The sequence below is a fragment of the Homo sapiens genome, chromosome 10 (assembly GCF_000001405.40).
Source record: "Homo sapiens chromosome 10, GRCh38.p14 Primary Assembly".
Taxonomy (NCBI): Eukaryota; Metazoa; Chordata; class Mammalia; order Primates; family Hominidae; genus Homo; species Homo sapiens.
In genome coordinates, this window is record NC_000010.11 from 52314160 (window position 1) to 52333744 (window position 19585).

Genomic DNA, 19585 nt, shown 5'->3' on the forward strand with positions numbered 1-19585 from the left:
ACACCCCCTCCCAGCCCCTCCCAGCGCTTTGAAATCCCATCCCGGCTTTGTTGTCTCCCTCCCAAGGGGCCGGAATGCTCCGGGCCCGCGGTATAAAGGCAGCCGCGGTGGCGGTGGCGGCGCAGAGCTCTGTGCTCCCTGCAGTCAGGACTCTGGGACCGCAGGGGGCTCCCGGACCCTGACTCTGCAGCCGAACCGGCACGGTTTCGTGGGGACCCAGGCTTGCAAAGTGACGGTCATTTTCTCTTTCTTTCTCCCTCTTGAGTCCTTCTGAGATGATGGCTCTGGGCGCAGCGGGAGCTACCCGGGTCTTTGTCGCGATGGTAGCGGCGGCTCTCGGCGGCCACCCTCTGCTGGGAGTGAGCGCCACCTTGAACTCGGTTCTCAATTCCAACGCTATCAAGAACCTGCCCCCACCGCTGGGCGGCGCTGCGGGGCACCCAGGCTCTGCAGTCAGCGCCGCGCCGGGAATCCTGTACCCGGGCGGGAATAAGTACCAGACCATTGACAACTACCAGGTGAGAGGGGTCGGGCACTCAGAGGATGCTCTGACCTTGAAAGGGTCCTATCTGGAGACGAGGGAGTAGAACGTGCTGAATGTGTGCGGTTCAGGGAGCATTTGGTAACCCTGCATTTGGGAGCAGTGGGCAGTAACAGGTTTTGGAGAGGTGGACAGATAAGGACTGTGATCAGCGCCCGGGTCCAAGAGGGCGGGTACCTGGACGTCTGGGTGCCTCACCCTCTCCCCGAACCCTTCCCACAGCCGTACCCGTGCGCAGAGGACGAGGAGTGCGGCACTGATGAGTACTGCGCTAGTCCCACCCGCGGAGGGGACGCAGGCGTGCAAATCTGTCTCGCCTGCAGGAAGCGCCGAAAACGCTGCATGCGTCACGCTATGTGCTGCCCCGGGAATTACTGCAAAAATGGTGAGTCCTGAAAGCTCCCTTTCACACTAAAACTGTCCAGCCTTTGAGCGTCTATGAATTGGGCGGGGGCGGGGGGTTGGGGGGGGTGGGGGGAGAAATCTCCGCCCTGAGAACACTGCGGCGCCACCTGCAAATGGGTGTTCAGCATGCAGGATTCCGCTGAAGTATCTTCATTGCAAGTGTTTAATCGGGAAGAAGAGAGAAGTTGGGAGGTCTCTGAGGTCCTTATCTTCCTCCGTGTCCCTCAATGATTCAATACAACGGTTCACCTCGTAGTGGACTCTTCCATAAAAATTTGTCTGGGGAGAACCTTGAGGTCAATTGAGAAGGGGGATGATGAGGAGGACGATGGGATCATACAGATATCAAAGAAACCAGCTTTGGCGTTCAGCTGTCCTTTTCATTTTTCTTATTGTGATTCTCACAGTTTTGCCAGACTGGCCTCGCCTTCTGATTTTTGCTGAAACTGTTGTCAGCCAGAGGACTGATTTATCTGCATTGGCCATTTTTAAGAGAGATCTTGGTACCCTCACAACTTGACTTCTCCATCCTTCCCCCTCCCTCTACCCTCTGCTGCCTTAATATAAGTACTCCTCCCCCCAACCACAGATCCACTAACTTTTAATTTTTCAAAAGGTGGATTTAGACAGCTAAAGAGGTCTCCAGAAATAAGCTAACAGGGCGACGACCCTCCTTAGGACCCAGCAGTACTCCAGGATGAACTAAGTAAATCTCTGTAATATAGAAATTACACAGTAAAGTAACTGGCCGGTGAGATTGCAATGTTCCAGGCAGCTGGAATTGCATTTGCTTAACTTAGTCTGGTAGGACCCATATAGCACCAGGGGCAGAGAAGTTATTTTTAAGAACATTTTTAAAGTGACTGAGTTTCTTTTTCTTACCCCAAAGGTAATATTAAAATGGGCAGAAATCTCACTTGCCCCTACCACAGTTGGTGGGAAAGTATTTTAAATGGCTATACTGGGGATATTACCTATGACTGACTGTATACAGTATACACATTGGTGCTTCTGTCCATCTGGAGAGTTTTGCATTAACAGTAAAGAGGAAGTTTGGCTTGTGTTTAAAATGATGTCACTGCAATGAAGTATCTCAAGTTGATGCTGGCATAACAGACTGCCACTGTCACAGCTGTTAGCAGTAATGCATTACAACCCTGAAGTTAATCACTATTTCCTGCTTCCTTAGGAATATGTGTGTCTTCTGATCAAAATCATTTCCGAGGAGAAATTGAGGAAACCATCACTGAAAGCTTTGGTAATGATCATAGCACCTTGGATGGGTATTCCAGAAGAACCACCTTGTCTTCAAAAATGTATCACACCAAAGGTAAGGATGTTAAGACTCATTCTTAGCACATCAGAAGTGTCTTTTGAATTATTTTAGTGAAACGATGCAGGTTTAACAGTAACTATGTACTTTTTTCCTACTGTCTTCTCCTTCGTAGGACAAGAAGGTTCTGTTTGTCTCCGGTCATCAGACTGTGCCTCAGGATTGTGTTGTGCTAGACACTTCTGGTCCAAGATCTGTAAACCTGTCCTGAAAGAAGGTCAAGTGTGTACCAAGCATAGGAGAAAAGGCTCTCATGGACTAGAAATATTCCAGCGTTGTTACTGTGGAGAAGGTCTGTCTTGCCGGATACAGAAAGATCACCATCAAGCCAGTAATTCTTCTAGGCTTCACACTTGTCAGAGACACTAAACCAGCTATCCAAATGCAGTGAACTCCTTTTATATAATAGATGCTATGAAAACCTTTTATGACCTTCATCAACTCAATCCTAAGGATATACAAGTTCTGTGGTTTCAGTTAAGCATTCCAATAACACCTTCCAAAAACCTGGAGTGTAAGAGCTTTGTTTCTTTATGGAACTCCCCTGTGATTGCAGTAAATTACTGTATTGTAAATTCTCAGTGTGGCACTTACCTGTAAATGCAATGAAACTTTTAATTATTTTTCTAAAGGTGCTGCACTGCCTATTTTTCCTCTTGTTATGTAAATTTTTGTACACATTGATTGTTATCTTGACTGACAAATATTCTATATTGAACTGAAGTAAATCATTTCAGCTTATAGTTCTTAAAAGCATAACCCTTTACCCCATTTAATTCTAGAGTCTAGAACGCAAGGATCTCTTGGAATGACAAATGATAGGTACCTAAAATGTAACATGAAAATACTAGCTTATTTTCTGAAATGTACTATCTTAATGCTTAAATTATATTTCCCTTTAGGCTGTGATAGTTTTTGAAATAAAATTTAACATTTAATATCATGAAATGTTATAAGTAGACATACATTTTGGGATTGTGATCTTAGAGGTTTGTGTGTGTGTACGTATGTGTGTGTTCTACAAGAACGGAAGTGTGATATGTTTAAAGATGATCAGAGAAAAGACAGTGTCTAAATATAAGACAATATTGATCAGCTCTAGAATAACTTTAAAGAAAGACGTGTTCTGCATTGATAAACTCAAATGATCATGGCAGAATGAGAGTGAATCTTACATTACTACTTTCAAAAATAGTTTCCAATAAATTAATAATACCTACCTAAATGGTCAATATTTTTCGGACAAGGAAGAAAATCATCCACAAAAATAATACTCCAAAGTACTTGGTGATTGGCAGGAACAGGATGTGTGCCCATAAATACAGTTAACAAATACATGCAGATTTTGTACCAAACAAAATAATTTGCAGTATCTTGAGTACTACTGCATGCAAAGCAGACTTGTTCTAATTATTTTGGTTTTAAAATAATTATTAATTAAAAATCACAAATCCTTCCTCATTCCACTCTTTTTTTCTCTTGCTAGGTGAGTTTCATATTTCAAGTTTTGTTTAACCTGAAATCTATTGATTGGAATGAGGATACGGATACAGTATTTTAAAGAAAACCCACAGGAATAAAATCTAAATTTTCTTTGCATTTGTACTTGCCAGATTTCATATTGTTTATACTGAGGAAAAGGGAAAGCAAACTTCCCAATTTATACTTTTTCTGTAGTATTCTAAAGTCTGCACCCAAACCACAAAATGCTGCATTTCAGGCCTGCAAAGGATAGTAGTGACTGATCAATCGTGCAAATATTTCCTTAAATAACGCAGATGTACTAGACCGTTTGTTGTTTTTGTGTTTCTGGAAGTGGTTCAATTTCAAGGGTCTCAACCAGTGGGACACAAGCTTTGGTTGGTTCTTCACTGAAAGAGGAACTGGCAGGATGTCTGCTGTTACATTCCTTTTGTCTGGAAGTCTCAGCTTCCTCACCCAGGAGAAACTTTCTTTTTCTACATGCGCTTGTTTTCTGAAGTGCCAGAAAGGCCAATTCTAAGGCCTGCCATGTCCAATAAAGCACAATAAAGGAAAGGAAACAGGAAACTTTTTCTCCAAAAAGAAGAAAGAAGAGCCTTCTGCTTAAGTGGGGAAAGAAGCAAACTTTTAAAGGGCTTTGGTTATTGGATCCCTTCCTTTCTACAGGAACGGACCTCAGTACATTGACCCTAGTGACAGCCTTTCTTGCTTCTCATCTCCAGATGAGAGATGTGTGGAAGAATACAAAACCAACCAGAGGGATGCCTCTTCTTCCTATCCAGCTGAGAAATTAGGAAGGGATTTCTGTTAAAAAGAATTCTTCATATTTATAAAGGTGGAAAATACCAAGAAAATTGTAGGTTTTTATTAGCTAGTAATAGAGGCTAGACGATGGAAATCAGATAAAATACAAATTCAAAAGAGGATTATTTAAGGAATCTAGAACAATTTGGGTAATGATTGTTTAAAATGTCTGTTGTTGTTGCTGTGTGACTTTTAAACAATGTATTTTAACGGAAAATACATGCATCTGGGAAAATTTCACAAGATATTTTATCGAATGTTAGTATACTCTACACGCTGTCCTGCACCTTGCTTTTTTTACTCTATGCGTCTTGCAGATCATTTTATATAATACATAGAGAGGTGACTCATTCTTTTTAAAGGTTACATTAAGTTTGTAGTATGTCAGAATGGCAATACTATAATTGTTTTAACCAGTGACGTTTAAGTTGTTTCCAGATTTTTTGATCTAACAAATAATGTGTCATGAGTATAGAATTTTTATGTTCATGTACTAGTATAGTTATAGGATGACTCATATTTGAAGCAAAGTACAAAACGCATGCTTTCTGTAGCTACTCATAAATTCTGGTATGAGCAAAATGTCAAGATGCTTGCTTATCACCGACCAAGTGATGATTAAGCTCTTGCTAAACTGTATCAAAGGAGAAAAAGGGAAATACAGGCTTATCCTAACAATTTCACAGTGAACAGTAATCTCTGGCATTCAGTTAAAGCTAGACTTGTTCTAATTACTTTGATTTTGAAATTATTATTAAATAAAATCACAAGCCTTTTCTCACCACTCCCTTTTCTTGTTTTGCTAGAAGAGTTGAATATTTCAAACTTTGTCTAATCTACTGATAAGAATGAGCCTGGCCCTTCACTTTTAAATTGGTGACATTATCAAACTTTATCATACTACCAACTTTCTTTTACGGTCTTAGAGAAAAATAGACAATACTACCATTAGGCTTATAAAGTGTCTTCCACTGAGTTCTATGATTGCAATTTTCATACCTTCTAAAATACTATTCTGAGGACAATATTAAAATATAAAAGAAATACCTTATCTTTACCTTAAAGAAGAAGAAAATAATCTCGTAATTTAAGCATTCAATGTTTGTACAAAAGTGTGTGTACGTATGTGGTCCTTTATATATTGAGTGTAAGGGTTGACAGCTTAGAAATAGTTAATCACATCAAAAATCTAGGACTACAATCTAGGTAATGCTAAGAAATTTTAATTCCATATACCTTTATTTAGTCTGCCACATCCAGTGGGCACTATGCTAGCATTTGAAAAGATGCATATAATATTGGCCTTTAACTTCAAAGAACTTAGTCTTTAGCAAGGGAGATGATGAACATTAGTGCTGGAAGTTGATTTAGTATAGTGGTTAGAAACAGTCTCTAGAATTGGATAGATTTGGGATTGAGTCATGGCTCCCTCAGTAATGTAGATGTGAGACTAACGCATGCATCAGAATACTATTATGTCTAGCTCAATGTAGGCACTCAATTTTAGGTCTTTACTACTGGACAATGAAATGTATATATTATATTATGTCGTATTATCTTACATACATTAATACCTGACAACAGATTAAAATTAATTAAATCAGCCTGTAATTGCTCAGAAAAAGCTTCAGAGAAGAGGTAGTATTTGAACCATCACCTTCTCTTGCGCTTTTATTTCAAGGAAGAAAAAGCACTTAAACTAGAAAAAGCAAAAAGGAGACATGGGTTGATACCGCTCATAAAAATCAGGACGGAAAGCATTCTGCAGACTCACTTGTGATTTCTGTTCCATTGTAATTTGCAATGTCTATCACTTGCCATGCTGACAAGCAAAATTCTGTCCCCAGTATATGTAATCATCCAGTGCAGTTCTGCTCAGTAAATTGCTTAGCCTTTCAGAGACTCCTACTCCAAAATCTTGGGTGAGGGTTCTGATTAGCTTATCTTTAATCAGGGGTCCATCTCTGGTTCAATTGTCTAGCATAGCTACTCAGTTCGTAATATATAAACACAGCTGTCTATATCCATTCTGCCTGTAATAGGAACTATAGTAGTTCTACAAGAGGAATGTGTAGGGACAAATCCCACATCTCAGGTCTATCACAAATTAGTTTTGAAGGATGAGAAGGCATTTACAAGGTAGAAAAGAAGAGAAAGAGTTTCCTTCCTATTGGAGACAGAGGAAGAAGTGTGAGCAAAATTATGGAGTTATAAAAATAAAAATACATAATATATTGAGAAAATAAGTAATATCCCACTGTGGCTAGATTTGGGGGTAGCTAGGAAGAGGATTTTTCTGATTTTTGGTTATATAATTTCTTACCCAGAAAAAATAGACTACTACAATTTTTTATTTTCAGCAACAGTTACTGTGTTAGGTGGCAACGCAATTGAAGAGGATATATTTGAGACATATTTTGTCTGAAAAAATTACAGATGTCACAAACTACAGTGATTTTTTACCAAAAAATTACAAAATAAGGATATTATTTTGTTTCCAGCAATAGTTGTTCCATTAGATTTCAATTAAAGTAAATAATACAAATAATACATTACAAATAATGTAAATAATACCTTTCACAAACACGGTGGATTTTTTGCCAAAAATTTATAAATCCTAATAATGTGACATAGACCCTAAATATTAGCATATGAAAAATTACCTTGCAAGGGCAATGATAACGAACACCCTGCTGTTTAAAACTGCTGAACAAATTCTATAGTAAAAAGTAAAATTGGCAGAAGGCATCAAACATGGCTTATCTTGATAAATTCATATTACGTTTTATAATATTTCACAATCTTTCTCCTGATGAGCAAAAAAAATACTTTTAAAAAGCATCCTGTATGGAAACTTTTCACATATCTGTGATACTCCGAAGTTCAAATTAAAAGCAGAAAATGATAGAGGCATATCTTGTTATATTGTGCTTCACTTGATTTTTTTTTTATAAATTGAAGGTTTGTATCAGCTTCGCATTGTGCAAGTCTATTCGTGTCATTTTTTCCAACAGCATGTGATCATTTCATGTTTCCATGTCACATTTTAGAAACTTTTTCGGCCGGGCGCGGTGGCTCACGCCTGTAATCCCAGCACTTTGGGAGGCCGAGGCGGGCGGATCACGAGGTCAGGAGATCGAGACCATCCTGGCTAACATGGTGAAACCCCGTCTCTACTAAAAATACAAAAAATTAACCGGGCGTAGTGGCGGGCGCCTGTAGTCCCAGCTACTCGGGAGGCTGAGGCAGGAGAACGGCGTGAACCCGGGAGGCGGAGCTTGCAGTGAGCTGAGATTGCGCCACTGCACTCCAGCCTGGGCGACAGAGCCAGACTCCGTCTCAAAAAAAAAAAAGGAAACCTTTTCATTATTATTATATCTATTATGGTGATCTACAATCAACTTTAAGGTTACAATTGTAATTGTTTTGGGATACTATGAGTTGCGCCCATGTAAGACAGCAAACTTAACTGACAAATGCATGTGTTCTGACTGTTCCACTGACCAGCCATTTTCCCATCTCTCTCCCTCTCCCCCTCCCCGTGCCTTCGGAGTCCCTGGGACACAACAATATTAAAATTAAACCAATTAATAACCCTACAATGGCCTCTTAAGTGTTTAAGTGAAAGAAAGAGGTGCACATCTCTCACTGTAATGAGGAAGGCATGTGGAAGCTGAAATAGGCCGGAAGCTAAGCCTCCTGGGCCAAAGAGCCAAATTGTGAATACAAAAGAAAACTACTTGAAGGAAATTAAAAGTGCTACTCTAGTGAGCACACAAGAGATAAGGAAGTACAACACCCTTGTTGCTGATATGGAGAAAGTTTGAGTGATCTGAATAGAAGATTCAACCAGTCACTACATTCCCTTAAGCCAAAGACCAATCCTGAGCAAGGCTCTAGCTCCCTTCAATTCTGTGAAGGCTGAGAGAAGTGAGGAAGCTGGAGAAGAAAAGTTGGATGCTAGCAGAGGTTGGTTCCTGACATTCAGGGAAAGAAGCTCTCTCCATAACACAAAAGTGCAAGGCGAAGCAGCAAGTTATCCAGAAGAGCCGCTAAGATCATTGATTAAGGTGGGTACACTAAACAACAGATTTTCAGTGTACATGCAACAGCCTTCTGTTGGAAGAAGATGCCATCTATGACTTTTATATGTAGAGAAGAGAAGTCAGTTCTTGGTTTCAAAGCTTCAGAGGACAGTCTAATTCTCTTGTTAGGGGCTAAAGGAGCTGACGACTTTCAATGAAAGCCAATGATAATTTACCATTATGAAAATCCTAGGGCCCTTAAGAATTATACTAAATCTGCTCTGCCTGTGCAATATAAATGGGTGGAAAAACAAGGCAAAGCCTGGATGACAGCACATCTGTTCACAGAATGGTTACTGAATATTTTAAGCTCACTGTTGAGGGTTACTATTCAGAAAAAAATTCTTTGAAAATGTGACTGCTCATTGACTATGCATCTAGTCACCCAAGAGCTCTAATAAGGATGTACAAGGAGGTTAATGTTTTCATGCTTGTTAACACAACATCCATTCTACAGCCCATGAATTAAGGTATAAATTTTGACTTTCAAGTCTTATTATTTTGGAAATACATTTTATAAGACTATAGTTACCATAGTTAGTTATTGCTCTGATGTATTTGGGCAAAGTAAATTTATATGGAAAGAATTTGCCACCATAGATGCCATTAAGAACATTCATGATTCATGGGAGGAGGTCAAAATATCAACATTAACAGGAATTTGGAAAAAGTTGATTCCAACCTTCATAAATGGCTTCGAGGGGTTCATTCAAGACTTCAGTGGAGGAAATTACTGCAGATGTGGTAGAAGTAGCAAGAGAACCAAAATTAGAAGTGGAGCCTGAAGAAGTGACTGAATTATTGCAATCTTATGATCAAAGTTGAATGGGTGAGGAGTTGGTGCTCATAGATGAGCAAAGAAAGTCATCCTTTGAGACAGAATGTGCCCCTGGAGAAGATGCTGTGAATATTGTTGAAATGACAATGAAAGATTTAGAACATTACATAAATTCAGTTGATAAACAAAGTCAGAGTTTGAGAGAATGGACTCCAATTTTAAACGGAGTTCTACTGTGAGTAAAATGCTATCAAACAACATTGTACACTACAGAAAAAACTTTTGTGAAGGGAACGGTCAGTCACTGTTGAAAACTTCATTGTTGTCCTGTTTTCAGAAATGGGTACAGCTAACCTAATTCTGAGCAACAACTACCCTGATCAGTCAATAGCCAACAACAATGAGGCAAGACCTTCCACTAGCAAAAAGATTACAACTTGCGGAAGGCTCAGGTAATCATTAGCATTTTTAAGCAATAAAGTATTTTTTAACTAAGGTAAGTACTTTTTTTTTTTAACATATAATGCTATTGTGCATTTAATAGGCTACAGTATAGTGTCAATGTAACTTTTAGATGCCCTAGAAAACCAAAAACATCGTGTGACTTGCTTTATTATGATACTCACTTTATTGTGGTGGTCTAGAACTAAACCTACAATATCTCAGAGGTATGCCTGTGACTAGTCTGGGCATAAGTGCAAAAATCCAGGCACTCATTCATATACTGCTAGTAGGTACTGCAATTAGCATACCTTTCTGAAAAGCAATTTGGCTGTGCTTAAAATGTGAAAACTCTTTGATGCAGTCATTTCTGGAAATTTATTTTAAGAACAGAAACATGGATGTATAAAAATCCATCTACAATGGTATTTTAATAGCAAAAATTGAAAACAAATTACATGTTTAAAGTATAGAACAGTTTAGATAATGCAGTTATGTTATTAAAGTATTCTGTAATAATTAAATTAATATGGAGAAACATTTGGAATTCTCTATGTACAAATATTTGAAAAAAGCATATTTCAGAACATGCATGGTATGTTATAAATTACTTAGAGTAACATCTCATATCTAATCTAACCCTAGATGGCTTATCTGGGAAGTAGGATTGTGGGAACTAATCTCTTTTCCTTTTTTTTTTTTTTTTTTTTGCTGAGACAGAGTCTTGCTCTGTCACTCAGGCTGGAGTGCAGTGGCATGATCTCGGCTCACTGCAACCTCCACCTCCCTGCTTTAAGCGATTCTCTTGCCTTAGCCTCCTGAGTAGCTGGGACTATAGGTGAGCACCACCATACCCGGCTTAGTTTTGTATTTTTAGTAGAGACAGGATTTCACCATATTGGCCAGGCTGGTCTCAAACTCTTGACCTCAAGTGATCTGCCTGCCTCGGCCTCCCAAAGTGCAGAGATTATAGGCGTGAGCCACCACACCCAGTCTTTTTTCATTATTTTCCACTTTTTCTATAAAAATCAGGGAAGACATTACTATTATTAAATGTAAAGGTAGGACAGAACTTGAGTTTTTCTCATAAACTTTCCTATACATTGAGCAGATAGCTTGATGTGTCTCATTCTAATTTTAAAAATTACTGTTATTGCAGAATTACTCTTCTTTGAATTTCCCAAAACTGCAGGAAAGAAAAACATCCTGGTCGGTCACGGTGGCTCTAGCCTGTAATCCCATCACTTCAGGAAGCTGAGGCAGGTAGATCACCTGAGGTCAGCAGTTCAAGACCAGCCTGGCCAACATGGCGAAACCCTGTATCTACTAAAAATTCAAAAATTAGCTGGGCGTGTTGGCAAGTGCCTGTAATCCCAGCTACTCAGGAGGCTGAGGCAGGAGAATCGCTTGAACTGGGGAGGCAGAGGTTGCAGTGAGCGGAGATCATGCAACTGCACTCCAGCCTGGGCAACAGAGTGAGACTCCATCTCAACAACAACAAAAAAAGAAAAAGCGTGAAAAACATCTTTCACTTACTGACCAAATTTCTTTCCATTCAAAAAATACTGACTGGGAGAACTGCAGCTAGTATAGAGAAGACCTGCACCAAGCAGTTCTTGAATAAAAGATTAAATGAATGAAACAGAAATAGGAATAGCTGTGCCAGCTTCAGCAAAATTACAACAAAATAGAACATACAAAAACAAATACTTTAAAATATCCAAAAGAAGGAACACAGAGTAAGCAAAATAAAAATCACAATTCTGTTATAATAGATATACTCTTTTTGTATGATCTTCTATGTCCATGTTTATTTTGTCAACAATTATATGTTGCAATGAACTGTCTGACATGTTGCTTGTCTTATAAATATATAAGCCATTTTAGTGTTTAGTTTTTGACATCTTTATTGGTGAGAAAAATCTCACTTTTCTCTTCCTGACAATAGTTAATACTTTCAGACAGCTTGGCTTATACTCTTGTAGGCAGGCAGATTGAATTTCTTTGCTAATTTAAACAGCTAGTGACACAGAAGAGGATGGAAATTATTTATTCTGGAAGCTCTGCACATTTCAGTTTTATAAGCAGCCTTGGTTATCTTCTCGATCAAGTTCTGCTAAGTGCTATCATGTCTTGACACTTAGGTGGCATATTGCAGAAAATGTTTAATAGAAACAATCAAACAAACAAAGAAATAAAAACTGAGACTTCCACTGCCCTAATACTGGTTCATTTTCAACAAAATTGGGAAACTGGTAAAGTTTTTTTCTCATATTAACCCTTCATTCAACAACTTTCTCCTTGCTGCTCACACAATCTCTCTCCCTCTAAGGAAACCTATTCCTATTTTTCTAGTTTTCAATGATCACTTTTCATCCCTTTCCCTCACTTCTTTCATAAGCTTTCAATGTTTTAATTTAAAAAAATTAATTCTAGCTAGCTAGACTTTTGCATCAGTACCCTTCTAGACCTGTCCTTTTAGTCATACACCTTGTGGCAGAAACTATTACCAAACCGGTTGCCTTTTCCTCCTGAGCACATTTCCCAGCCTCCCTTGCAATTAGATGTGGCCACATGACTGAGCTTGGCCAATGGCATGTGTGCCTGAAGACCCTCCTATAAGCACTTCCATTCCTCCACGCAGCATCATCTGCAGATATTAAGCAGACAATGACAGCCCTGTGATTAAGAGGCAGAGACTCTCTCAGCCTTGGTTTCTAAATAATAGGATGAGCTGATTCTCCTTGCCCCCACCCCAACTTATGTGAGCAAGAAATAAACATTACTTGTGATAAGCCAAGGAGATTTATCTTTTATTTTTTATTTTTTTAGTTTTTATTTTTTACTTCGATAATACATACCTCAAACTTTAATTTTCTCCTTCCTTCTCTTCAGTCTTGTGTCAAATTCTGCCGCCTTGCATGTCTATGTCAGAAGCCTGCCACTGGGAAAACTAGATGTTCTGATAAAAAAGTATGTGAAATTGTGCAGTGCAATTGATTTAACATTGTTGACATTTATATGAAAATGTGAAAGCCTACAGCATTGTGTTTGACACATAGTAGGAATTCAATTAATATTTTTACTTTTCATATTTTGAAACTTTTGCAAATAAAACCTCCTTTCAACCAAGTGACACAATTGGCAGAAAATGCTGATGATAAGTATAACTTTTTGGAGCATGTTTTAGGTACCAGAGACTATTGTTGTGTTTCACATATATTTACTAATTTTATTCTCACAATAACTCTATGAAGGATGTGTGTTTATCACTCCTGTTTTACAGATGAGATAACTTGGGCAAAGAAAGTTTGAGGTATTTATCTGAGTTATGTAGGTACTAAGCGACAGAACCAGAATTTGGAACCAGCTTGTCTGCTCCAAAGTCCAGGCTCTTACTACTAATAAGGCTAAATATTCAACCATCTAAAGCTTTCTGTAGCCCTTAAGTTACTTATACGGTTACAGTAAAAGTAGGGTAAAAATGTATCTGCTGATTTGTAAAAATGCAGCATCTCAAGTTTCTGAATTGAGAAACTTCTTTTCATGAAGTTTCATTAAAAATATATTTGAAAATATGGCAGATCACTTGAGTCCAGAAGTTCGAGACCAGCCTGGGCAACATTGAGAAACCTCGTCTCTACTAAAAATACAAAAATTAGCTGGGGGTAGTGCCACACACCTGTAGTCCCAGCTAGTTGGAAGGCTGAGGCATGAGAATCGCTTGAACTTGGGATGCAGAGGTTGCAGTGAGTCAAGATTGTGCCACTACATTCCAATCTGGGTGACAGAGTGAGACCCTGCCCCAAAAAAAAAAAAAAAAAAAAAAAAAAAAAAAAAAAGAAAGAAAGAAAGAAAAGAGAGAGAGAGAGAGAGAGAGAAAATATAATGCCCTATGGTTTTTGTGTGTTTAAATAAAAAAGGAATAAAAGGTAGGATTAATGAAACTGTGAAAGTAAACTCTTTTAAAGCTAAAAATAGTATGATCTCTTTCTTGATTAGAGAGAGAGAATTAATTTAGTGGGTGAATTACCAGGAAAGCTTACCTCACTGTTAGGTTGTTATGTTATTTCTCTCATCTAAGAGGATGCTTTCTGCATAGTAACATTATATTACAAAACACATTATGATAAAAATCCTGCATTTAAGGACAGTTACTGAGTCACCTATACACATATACTGTGTTCACAAATGTTTTTGTAGTCAGATTATAGTTGCTCTTCCTTTAAGTATATCTTTCAAATTATACCTTCTGTGGTGACAAGTACATTTATGGCTACAATTTGCTATTTATTAACAAATGACGACTGAGTAGTTTTAACTTTCAGAAGAAGAAACAAAATCTGGTATAATTATATCATGGATTCATCCTAAAGAGCTAAAAATAGTGAAAATACACACAAGAAAGATACCTAAATTCACTGTTTTTTAAGTGCTTGTTTTTCTAAGAGCACAAAACTCATGATAGACTTATAGCTCTGAGGTGGAAATTAGAGTCAGGGTTGAATTTTTGCATAGTTTTAGGTTTTAGGATAATTCAGCAATTATCCTAAACAAAGTGAAGGTTATTTAACAAGCGGTCATTCTGCTACAACCGTTATTGACTCCAATGTGGATGAGCTGTTGGTGCACAGTACTGTGAACACTATTTCAATTTGCTTGTTAATTCAGGATGCTGTAATTACATTTCAGTGGTGATGTGTCTTTGTGGATTTTATATGCCAGTTGAAGATCAGGAGAAGTCAAGATATTCCCAGATATGTTCCTGATTATATTTCAAAATGGGTGATCATGTTATAGCTTCCTCAGACAAGTGGTTCCCAAACTCAGCTCATCATCTTCTGAAACACCTGGGAAACTCTTTAAAATTATAGATTCTGGGAGCCTTCCAAGTCTACTGAATCAGAACCTCTTAGAATTGAGCCTTTGCATCTGTATTTTTTTAAAGCTCTTCCATTGATTGCTATTATACATCTAATTTTGAAATCCACTGTGACATGGCCTTTAATCAAAATGCTTTACTCTAAACAGTATGGCCATATAGGGACTATGTGCAGAGAAAGAAATGATTGGCTGAGCACTTATCCTGAGCTAGTACTTGGGCTTGGGTAAATATATCATTTCATGTGATCGTTGTAACAGTCATGGCAGATATAATAAATGTTCACTATATCTACAAGGCAACAAGACAAAGAGGTGCTGAGAGATAAACTGATGTCCTTAATGTCACATGGCTAAGAAGTAATAGAATGATGACAGATCTGGATGCTTATTGTGCCAAAGCTTACTTTATATCAATGGCAACGAAAATGGTAACTTACTTTTATATCGCGTGTTAGTGTTTACTTTCTATGTTTGCAGATACCTCTTTGACAAAACACATTTTATAGATTTTTCAAACTTGGGATAAGAGGAACTCAAACTGAAATAAACTAAGGTTCTTAACTGTAGTCATTCTGATTTTCCTCTAGTACTCATTTCAACTGATGAAGTCTTACCTTATATTTTAAAGGGAAGTCTTCCCTGACCCAACATTGTATCACAGGCCAAGTCAGGTAATTTATGTGGGCTCATAAATTATTTTTCATAGCTCTTATTCTAATTCTAACAAACTATTTTTATATTTATTTATTAAGTGGATTTCAACCCCATCAAACTGTAATCTTCATGAGTGCAAAGAGCTTGGTTATTCTTCAATCCATAGCACCCAATTCTGGGCTTACCCTATAGTAGTTGCTCAATAAAGACATGTTGAATGAATCAGTAAACACCTATGCTATTTCCCCTGAATGGATTTGCCACTATATTATTCATAATACACATAAATATACCAAAAATTTTGAAATTTTGTACTAGAAATTTTGTAGTTTTATTTATTTATTTATTTATGGAGTCTCACTCTGTTGCCCAGGCTGGAGTGCAGTGGCATGGTGCAATCGTGGCTCACTGCAACCTCCGCCTCCCGGGTTCAAGTGATTCTCCTGCCTCAGCCTCCTGAATAGCTGGGACTACAGGCCTGTGCCACCATGCCCGGCTTTTTTTTTTTTTTTTTTTTGTATTTTAGTAGAGATGGGGTTTTACTGTGTTAGCCAGGATGGTCTTGATCTCCTGACCTCGTGATCCGCCCACCTCTGCCTCCCAAAGTGCTGGGATTATAGGTGTGAGCCACTGCACCTGTCCATTTTGTGTTTTTATTAACTACCTACTCTTTGTATATATAAAATAGTTACTCATAATTAAAACAGACAAAAATTACTTCCTGAGTTTATTATTAAATATTACTCATAATTAAGTAAAATGCAGACAAAACTGCGTCCTGATTTTATTTATTATTTCTTGTCATTATTGCTGAACTTGGATAATTTTTAATGCACAAATATAATCTTAAAAGCAGGAATTAATCACAAAGAAATATATTAAAAATAATTTCTTGTGATGTAAAATACTCCCATGTATTTTGCTATTTGCATTGTATAATGATTAGATGGTTTTGAGAAGATGAATGGCTTGTCTTATTTTGGCTTTCATAAAAAGAAATTTTACTTGCAATTGTAATTCACATTTACTGAGACAAAATAACCCTGTAGTCCTGACTAGCCTAACTTGTTCCTGTAGGTTGACCATATAACAGATCCTTTCACCATAAGGAAATCTACCTTTTTTAAATGGAGATGGAATGATATTTTCAACACCTTGTAATTCATGCAATAGCCCTAGCTAAATTAAAACAAATTCTATGGATGCCATTAATCAGTGGTGTTCTAATTTTATCTTCACATTAGGATCATCTGGGGACTTTGAAAAACTAACTCGTGCCTGTGACCCACTCCCAGAAAATGTGATTGATTGGTTTGGAGTATGGCCTAGGCTTCAAATTTTTTAAAAGATTGATGGTTTATCTTAATGTACACAAGTTTGGGGACTACCTTTATTAGTTTCTGTCTTCCTCAGACAAGATAGCAGAAATACGGATGTTTCTGCCTTAATCTTGGAATAGATTTGTGGAATGCCCTGTTGACTCTGAAAGTGGAATTTAGACATTGAATTTCCTGAATTTGCCTGCAAAGATTGCAAGTTAGAAAAGGGAATTCCAAGGTGTCTCTTAAACTTGGAGGTCTTTGGTAACCTATATGTCAAAGCCTAAGACTAGGGAAGTTTTGATAGCAAATTTATCAGTGAGTAGGGAAGCGAATAAGAATTAAATATAGACTTTAAAATATCTCTTATACCTCCACCTCTCAAAACATAGCCGAGTTGAATAGGATGATTATAATCCTATATTACCTAAAAGGTGGGATTTAAAATGAGTTTAACATAATATGATTTATTAGCTGAAGAGATAATAATAGCAAGTTTTAGTGAAGTACCAGTTATGTCATCTCGTAATGAAGACATTTACGATCCAAGAGGGAATATTTACATTAACACCATTATTAATATTACTGTGTGCTGACTTCACAAAATTCCCAAAGCATGGAATGCAATTTAAAAATCAATGGTTTCTTTTGTGCACTTGTACCCTAGAACTTAATGTATAATAATAATTGTTTCTGTGCCTAAAGAGACATTTAAAAGCTGTTGAAATTTTGAAAAGCTTGTGGTCTTAAAAATGGCTGAAATCAGTGTTCTAACAGCACATATTTAAACATGTGGCCATAAAGCATTTCTTCTTTCCTCTCTTCCTTCCTTCTTTTTCTTTCTTCCTTCTGCACGCTCTCTCTGTCTTTCTCCCTCTCTCTTTCTTTCACTCTGAATGACACATATCCCATCACCATGAAAGCCTTGTGTGCAACTGCCAGTTGACACGGGCCTATTGTGGAAGGCATAGAGAGTATGCAGAAAGTTAAGTACCAAAGAAAGAAAAACAGTAAACCACTTGCTTAAGCTGATCTAGTGTTTTCTATTCTTTGGACTCTAGGTTCTAAATAATTGAACCTTGATCTCATTTGAGGTGAGGAAAATACACACACACAGGTGGCCTAACTTCTAATTATTTCATTCCCAGTGAAAGGCGCAGGTGTCAAAGTCTTAAGGATTCTGATCCTTCATTTAGTGCACTAAATCTTTTTTCTTTCTTTTACACAAAGCACTGAACTTCCCTGTTAATCCAAAGTGATGTCTGTGGCTCCTTTCCCTCTACACTGTCACTTATACTAACTCCTTTGGCTGTTATGATTTGTTGTGGCTGCTACTGCTGCTTTGAAACCTCTGAAATTTTCTAGGACCCTGGTTCTCAGTCTTTCACTGCTTATTGGATCACTTGGGCTTCTCTAAAAACTACCAATGCTCATGTCCCACCCATGGAGATCCTGCTGTTATTGATATGGAGTGTAGCCTAAGCATTGGGAGTTTTTAAAGATTCCCAGGTAATTCTAATGTGCTGCAAAGTTTGAGAACCACTGTTCTAGGAAGTGGTATCTGTTACCGGTTTCCTTGCCCAGTGCTGACCTTTTCTAGTTTTGACCTTTCATTCATGAATATTTTATTGGTTTTATTTTTCAATGAGAGTACATAGTAGGAGGGAATCGTCAGCTGCATTAGCCTGTTGAGTGTTATATCAACTTATCGTACCTACTTTTAGTATAACTGGGCTTGGGGCTTGCATAAAAATGGGACTATTGGCCGGGCACGGTGGCTCATGCCTGTCATTCCAGCACTTCGGGAGGCTGAGGCGGGTGGATCACGAGGTTGGGAGTTCAAGACCAGCCTGGCCAATATGGTGAAACCCCGTCTCTACTAAAAAAAAAATACAAAAATTAGCTGGGCATGCTGGTGCACACTTGTAGTCCCAGCTACTCGGGAGGCTGAGAGGCAGGAGAAGCTCTTGAACCTGGGAGGCAGAGGTTGCAGTGAGCCGAGATCATGCCACTGCACTCCAGCCCGGGCGACAGAGTGAGACTTCATCTCAAAAAAAAAAAAAAAAAAAAAGGACTATTGCAGGATATGTATGTGTTCACCACATAGTACAGGAAATGCCAGAATATAATCTGACAACTGCTTATCCCATTATGCAAACAAATACTTAAAAATGAAACATTAAGTATACCCAGACAGAACTGTAAACATTTCTGATTCTGAATCTAAAGAACTTATTAACCACAATTGATTATATAATGAGAACAAATTCTTACCTCTATCCGGAGAAGACATAATGACTTAAAATCAAATATTTAAGTAGTAATAATGATGCAAGTTATAGTGTAACTACATTAACCAAGTTTTACTCATTCAGGCTTTGCAATTCTGAAATGGCACAGTATTTCTTATTGCATTTGAATTGATTTTTTAAAATCTGTGGAATTTATTAAAGCAAGAATAATTCATAATAAAATCATTGTTTTCAAATGGTTTTTATGAAATGAGAATTCTGGGCTAAGCTATTCCCTTATAGTAGTTATTGGATAAACACCATTATAGCAACAGAAACCAAAATGAAAGAAAATTTGAAAGGTAGCCATAAAACCCCATCAAGGTATGGTACTTTTGTAGTTGAAGGTTCCCTTGCTATATTTGTGTCTACAGGCAAGTATTTTACCAATAATTCCTGTAGGCAAAAATTCTGCTTCATTATAAAATGATATATTGTTATGTAGGCCTTCCATAAGTTAAACTTTTTGTTGATATGCCTCATTTTATTTATTAATACTGATATCTTAGTTTATAAGAGATACTACTCTGGAAAGATTATAAGATGCATTTTTTTTTAAAAGAGTCCC

General features: G+C 37.8%; 1 protein-coding gene across 1 annotated transcript, besides 1 other annotated feature; it reads left to right on the plus strand.

Moving 5' to 3' along the window:
- The first annotated feature begins 121 nt into the window (after positions 1–121).
- On the plus strand, positions 122–3498 carry DKK1 (dickkopf Wnt signaling pathway inhibitor 1). Its single transcript, NM_012242.4, has 4 exons — positions 122–518; positions 764–926; positions 2136–2276; positions 2395–3498. The coding sequence occupies exons 1-4, from the start codon at positions 276–278 to the stop codon at positions 2646–2648; spliced, it is 801 nt and encodes a 266-aa protein (NP_036374.1). The 5' UTR covers positions 122–275; the 3' UTR covers positions 2649–3498.
- Positions 4105–5304: an enhancer, noted in NCBI's record as "P300/CBP strongly-dependent group 1 enhancer chr10:54078024-54079223 (GRCh37/hg19 assembly coordinates)". NCBI's record gives its function as "activates an origin of replication core promoter dependent on BRD2, BRD4, P300/CBP, MED14 and CDK7 cofactors, with strong dependence on P300/CBP, by STARR-seq in HCT116 cells {active_cell/tissue: HCT116}" and the evidence as "EXISTENCE:reporter gene assay evidence [ECO:0000049][PMID:35650434]".

Bases quoted from the DNA above. Each gene is read 5' to 3' on its own strand.
- DKK1 (NM_012242.4), top strand. From the start codon at position 276: ATGATGGCTCTGGGCGCAGCGGGAGCTACCCGGGTCTTTGTCGCGATG. The intron at 519-763 runs GTGAGAGGGGTC...CCCTTCCCACAG, and splicing joins AGACCATTGACAACTACCAG to CCGTACCCGTGCGCAGAGGA. The intron at 927-2,135 runs GTGAGTCCTGAA...CTGCTTCCTTAG, and splicing joins CGGGAATTACTGCAAAAATG to GAATATGTGTGTCTTCTGAT.